The following is a 5,999-nucleotide window of genomic DNA, read 5'->3' as shown; positions in this document are numbered from 1 at the left end:
TACCTCTAGGTTTGAATATATGGCTATTTATGATTGCTTGCCAGATCAAGCATGAATCAAGATGCAGAACCAGGGCCAGATGCTTGGCAGCAGGTAAGGTTAATACTCTCCATTAAGTATGGCAGATAAATTAATCTGGTTTTAAATTTGGGCAAGTTGAACATTTCCTTTTGAAAAGCATTTGGACTCAGTAATTTGGTTGACTATATTTGATAACTCTAACTGTAAGGGAAAAGGTCATCAACTAAGAAGAAAAAACCTCTTAAAATAGGTTTCAAAAGACAACTGCAGCTTATGGGCATGGAAAATTATCAGATTGAAAAAAATTGAGGTGTTACTTTCCATAATAATCCTTAGATAAGATTTCCATCTGTTCAGATTCTGGATTTTGTTTAAGTAGCCTAATATTTATTTATATTTTATTTGAGCATTTTATCAACATCTCTTAATGATCTGAAAAAATTATCTACAAGCCCTTATCTACAAAGAGTCTTGTAGAAATTTGTTTACAAGGAGGCTTGAAAAGGACTTCAAACAAAATAGGGGGTGTAGAAAAATATGTCCTACAGTCTCTATGTAAACAAACAATAGAAATTAGTTGGACACATTTAGAATTCAAAGTTATAATTAAAACAAGTTTTAGGCATAATTACTGGTACTTATGAGATAAAATTTAATCTCATAGGAAATTCTATAATGATTAGGAAAATATAGGCCCTTTCAAGCTGAGGAATTATTAATGGAGACTAAATCTTACTTGATACTTCCTAGACTTTTTTCCCTCAACATACCTAGTTGTAATAACTAGTCACTCAAGAAAAAAAATTGCACCACCACCTAATTATATTTTTTACAAAAATAATTTCAACTTTTATTTTAGATTCAGAGGGTAAAGGTGCAGGTTTGTTACATGGGTACATAGTGTGATGCTGAGATTTGAGGTACAGATGATCCCATCACTCAGGTAGAGAGCATAGTACCCTATAGGTAATTTTTCAGACCACGCCTTCCTCCCTCTCTACTTCTAGTAATCCTCAGTGTCTATTGTTTCCATCTTTATGTCCATGTGTAGTCAGGGTTTCACTCCCATTTATAAGTGAGAACATGTGGTATTTAGTTTTCTGATCCTGCATTAATTCTCTTAGGATGATAACTTCCAGCTGCATCCATGTTGCTACTAAGGGCATGATTTTATTCTTTTTATGGTTGCATAGTATTCCATAGTGTATATGTACCACATTTTCTTTATGCAGTCCACTGTCGATGGGCACGTAGGTCAATTCCATGTCTTGACAATTATGAATAGTGCAGTGATTAACATACAGGTACACGTGTATTTTGGGTAGAATGATTCATTTTCCTTTGGGTATGTACCTAGTAATGGGATTGCTGGGTTGAATGGGACTTCACGTTCTTCACTAAATCTGCGTACTGCTTTCCGCAGTGGATGAATAACTTATATTCCCACCAAGAGTGTATAAGTGTTCTTTCTCCACAGCCTTACTGACACCTGTTTTTTTTTTTTTTTTTTTTTTTCATAATAGCCAATCTGACTGGTGTGAAATGGTATTTCATTGTGGCTTTCATTTGCATTTCTCTGATGATCAGTGATGTTGAGCCTGTTTTTCATACATTTGTTGGCCACTGGCATGTCCTTGTTTGAGAAATGTCTGTTCTTGTTCTTTGCCCATTTTTTAATGAAATTATTTCTTTTTTTGTTTGTTGATTTCTTTAGCTTCCTTATAGATTCTGGATATTGGACCTTTCTCAGATGCATAGTTTGTGAATTGTTTCACCCATTCTGTAGGTTGTCTGCTCACACTGTTGATCATTTCTCTTGCTGTATAGAAGCTCTTTTCATTTAATTAGGTATTACTTGTCAATTTTTGTTTTTGTTGTAATTGTTTTTGGGGACTTAGCCGTAAATTCTTAGCCAAGATCAATGTCGGGAAGGGTATTTCCTAGCTTTTCTTCTACAATTTTTATAATTTAAATCTTGTATTCATCTTGAGTTAATTTTTGTATAACATGACAGGAAGAGGTCTAGTTTCATTCTTCTGCATATGGCTAGCCAGTTATCTCAGCACCATTTATTGAGTGGGGAGTCCTTTCTCCATTGCTTATTTTTGACAATTTTTTGGAAAATCAAATCGTTGTAGGTTTCTGGCTTTATTTCTGGGTCCTCTTTTCTGTTCCAGTGGTCTATTTGTTTGGTCTGTTCATGTTTTCACTTTCTTCTTGGTTCAGACTTAGAAGATTTTGTGTTTCCAGGAATGTATCTATTTCCTCTAGACTTCCTAATTAGTGTTCATATAGGTGTTCATAATAGTCTCTGAATATATATTGTGTCTGTGGGATCAATTGTAATGCTATCTCTGTCATTTCTGATTGTGCTTATTTGGATCTTCTCTTTCTTTCTTTGTTAATCTATCTAATGGTCTAATAATTTTGTCTATTCTTTTGAAAAACCAACTCTAGGTTTCATTGATCTTTTGTGTAGACTTTTGCTTCTCAATATCATTCAATTCTTCTCTGATATTAGTTATTTCTGTTCTTCTTCTAACTTTGTGGTTGGTTTGTTCTTTTTTCCCCTGGTTCCTCTAGGTGTAGTATTAGATTGTTAATTTGAGATCTTTCTAACTTCTTGATGAAGGCGTTTATTTCTATAAACTTTCCCCTTAATACTCCTTTAGCTGCATCCCAAACCTTTTGGTAAGATGTGTCTCTAATTTTTTTAATTTCATAGAATTTTTTAATCTCGGCTTTAATTTTGTTGCTCACCCAAGAGTTACTCAGGAGCAAGTTGTTAAATTTCCATGTATTTGTGTAGTTTTGAGCGTTCTTCTTGGTATAGATTTCTATTTTTATTGCACTGTGGTCCAAGAGAGTGCTTGATATGGTTTCAAGTTTTTTAATTTCTTGAGACTTTCTTTATGACCCAGCATGTATTCAATCTTTGGACATGTTCTGGGTGCAGATGAGAAGAATATATAATCTGTGATTTTTGAGTGGTGCATTCTGTAGACATCTGTTAGGTATAATTGCTCAATTGTGGAGTTTAAATCAAAAACTTGTTAGCTTTCTTACTGGATGATTTGTCTAATGCTCTCAGTGGTGTGCTGAAGTCTCCTACTATTATTGTGTGGCTATCTGTGTGTTTTTGTGAGTCAAGAAGAACTTGTTTTATGAATCTGGGTGCACTAATGTTGGGTGCATACATAATCAGGATAGTTAAGCCTTTTTGTTGCATTGTATCCTTTCTTATTATATAATGCCCTTTTTTGTCCTTCTTGATTGTTGTTGCTTTAAAGTCTGTTTTATGTGATATAAGAATTGTGATTCCTGCACTTTATTGTTTTTCATTTGTATGGTAGATCTTTCTCCATCCCTTTACTTTGATCTTGTGCATGTCATTACATGTGAGGTGGGTCTTTTGAAGACAGAAGACAATTGGGTCTTGTCTTCTGATCCAACTTCCCACTCTATGCCTTTTTATTGCGGCATTTGGACCATTTACTTTCAGGGTTAGTACTGATATGTGAGATTTTGATATTGTTATCATATTGTTAGCTTTTATTTTGTAGACTTGAATGTATAATTTCTTGCAAAATTTGGCCCTGCAGTCTCTTGACCCTACAGTCAACTGGGGTTAGAGCAACTTGGGGAAGATTGAGAGCCTTGGGATATGGGCACCTGTGGCCACGTTCCACTGCAGCTGCCCTGTGTGCAAAATCCCCCAGGCTCCATGCAGGCTGGAGCTCTGTCTCTCTCTACTCTCTGTGTACTCTCTGGTCAGACCCCCCACACACCCCCACCAGTTAAAATGTCTATGGGGGTTGTGGGATCTCGTGTAGCTAGGATCCCAACATTTCACAGCAAGAGTGGGTTGCCTCACCATCTCTTCACTCAGCCCTTCCCCAGGAGCCGTTCTAGGATGGAACTAGCACTGGCATTTGACAACCCTGTACAGGGTTTCCAGCTTCCTTTCTCTTTACCCTCAGGGTCTGCATTGCCTCTGTATCAACTCTTGGTGTTTTCTCTCCATGGATCTATTCAAAGTATGTTCCCTTATTGTACTTTAATAATAGATAAGTAAGACTTATTTTGCTCTATCCCTAGATATGTCACTTTGTATTTATACCACTTTATATTTTGTCTTTGTATTTAAATTTCTTATACTTTTGTTTCTTTGAATATATTGTGAGATTTTATTGGTAATATGATATAGTATTCTATATAATATTAATAGTATAGCATTTTAATAATATGTAATGTTATGCAATTATATAATACATAATATTAACATTACATGAGTAATGAATTACATACATATGAAACACTTGATAGTTTAGTAAGAATTTTACATGTATCAGTTTCTTTAAAGCTCATAGTCATCCTGTGAGGTAGATAGTATCTCTATTTTAAAGATAAGAATTCTCAAAATATGCAGATAAATAAAACTAAATAAAAAAGATGAAAATTAATAAGACTAAATTTTTATATATATATTTTAACCTGTATCATTTTTAAAAAATTGAATCCTTTATTGTTTTTATAGAAAAAAATGATATATACTGATTAGAAAAGTTCAAATAAGAATAAAAATCTGACACTTTAACAAGGATTGTTACCTGCCTTTTCTGACCATATTCCATACATACACTTCTCAGTATATATGCAGAAAGGAAGAGGGTAGGTGAGATAGGTAGTCAGAAAGAAATTAATTTTGAAAATGGGATACTTTTTCATATAAAAACAGAAAACTTTGATTTAATTTTTACTTTTGTATATCTGAGATAGAAGAACAGATGTAAAATTGAAGGCATAGTTGACCTTGAAATGAGTGTTTCTTCATGAAAAGAAAAAGTTACCTGTAAATTTAAGAAAATAACTGTCATACAGAATAGGCATCCAATGTTTTTGATTGTTTCAACTATGCAAAGTATCTACTACTTCCTTGCTTTGAAAGAGCAGAAATTATAACCATGTCAAACTCAAAGTTGTTTAATTTCTATATTTAAATAGATTCACTACTCAACATTATATATTTTTGATGTATCACTATTTTTCTGTTAATTGAGCTATTCTAATTAATCTCTTGGTTAGCTAGATTTCATTGTCAGTTTTATGTATCCATGTTTTTAAAGAAAGTTTTTATGTACTAATCACCCAATCTCTTGCATAGTTGTCAATGACTTTCTATTCATTATAGAAGAAATGCTTGGATGAGTGTACAATTCTTGATTTATACCTTCACATTAGAACTCTACAGCCATTTCTCAACTTCTTCTAATGTTAATTATGTTCAAGTCTTAAGTGCCTTTTATATAGAAAAAGACAAGAAATACCTTCCCTAATATGCCTTAACATTCTCCTCTAGCACACAAGCTTGAAGATACTAAGGGCACTAAGAATGGAGAAAAGAAAATTTGACATATATTTAATGTCTGTTCAACTAAAGGACTGTTAGCAAGAAGGCAACTCTTCCTTATTCTGTTTAATCTGGTCCAGATACCCATTTTTTTCCTGACCTTGCATATACTCTATACTTCTTATAATATTTATGAGATTATTGTATAACCATCTACATACAAGTCGACTGTGGATTCCTTGAATGAATGCAGAAACATAATAAACACTCAATAATTTTTCTTGAAGGGATTAGTTTTATCTTCTATTGATTTGTAGTGGCTGCCAAGAATACTGTGTTAAGTCTGATTAGGAACCCTGCTAGATCAGCAAGAAAAGTTACAGTGGTAAATTAGTAATGCCTGCTGTGAGCCAGAGAATTAAAAGTGGTGCCAAAGGTGACAAATGTTGTTTATCTTAGATTAGGTGCTATTTATTTGCCACAGATGGCAGAATCAGGACTATTAGATAAATACTCCAGGAGGTAGATTTTGGCCTAATGTAAGGAAGAGTGTTTCAATTATTAGATAGGTTTAAAAATTGAGTTTGGTGCTAGAGTCCTTGAGATAGATAAATTTCCTTTTCCTGGA

The 5,999-nt window shown here is 33.6% G+C and overlaps 1 protein-coding gene across 2 annotated transcripts in view; it reads left to right on the top strand.

Annotated features, from left to right (window-relative positions):
- The window catches only part of KCTD8 (potassium channel tetramerization domain containing 8), a 274,907-nt gene that overhangs the window by 155,313 nt on the left and 113,595 nt on the right, over positions 1 to 5,999 (top strand). Inside the window, exon 2 of one of the 2 annotated variants that reach the window (XM_011513690.4) lies at positions 10 to 93. The exons of the other annotated variant lie outside the window; for it this stretch is intronic. Coding sequence (XP_011511992.1) covers positions 10 to 93 — 84 coding nt within the window. The remainder of the gene's footprint in view (positions 1 to 9; positions 94 to 5,999) is intronic. 2 annotated transcript variants of the gene reach the window in all.

This window comes from Homo sapiens, chromosome 4 (genome assembly GCF_000001405.40).
Source record: "Homo sapiens chromosome 4, GRCh38.p14 Primary Assembly".
NCBI classification, from domain to species: domain Eukaryota; kingdom Metazoa; phylum Chordata; class Mammalia; order Primates; family Hominidae; genus Homo; species Homo sapiens.
The sequence above is the reverse complement of the archived record's forward strand: the minus strand, read 5'-3'. Positions and strand labels throughout refer to the sequence as shown.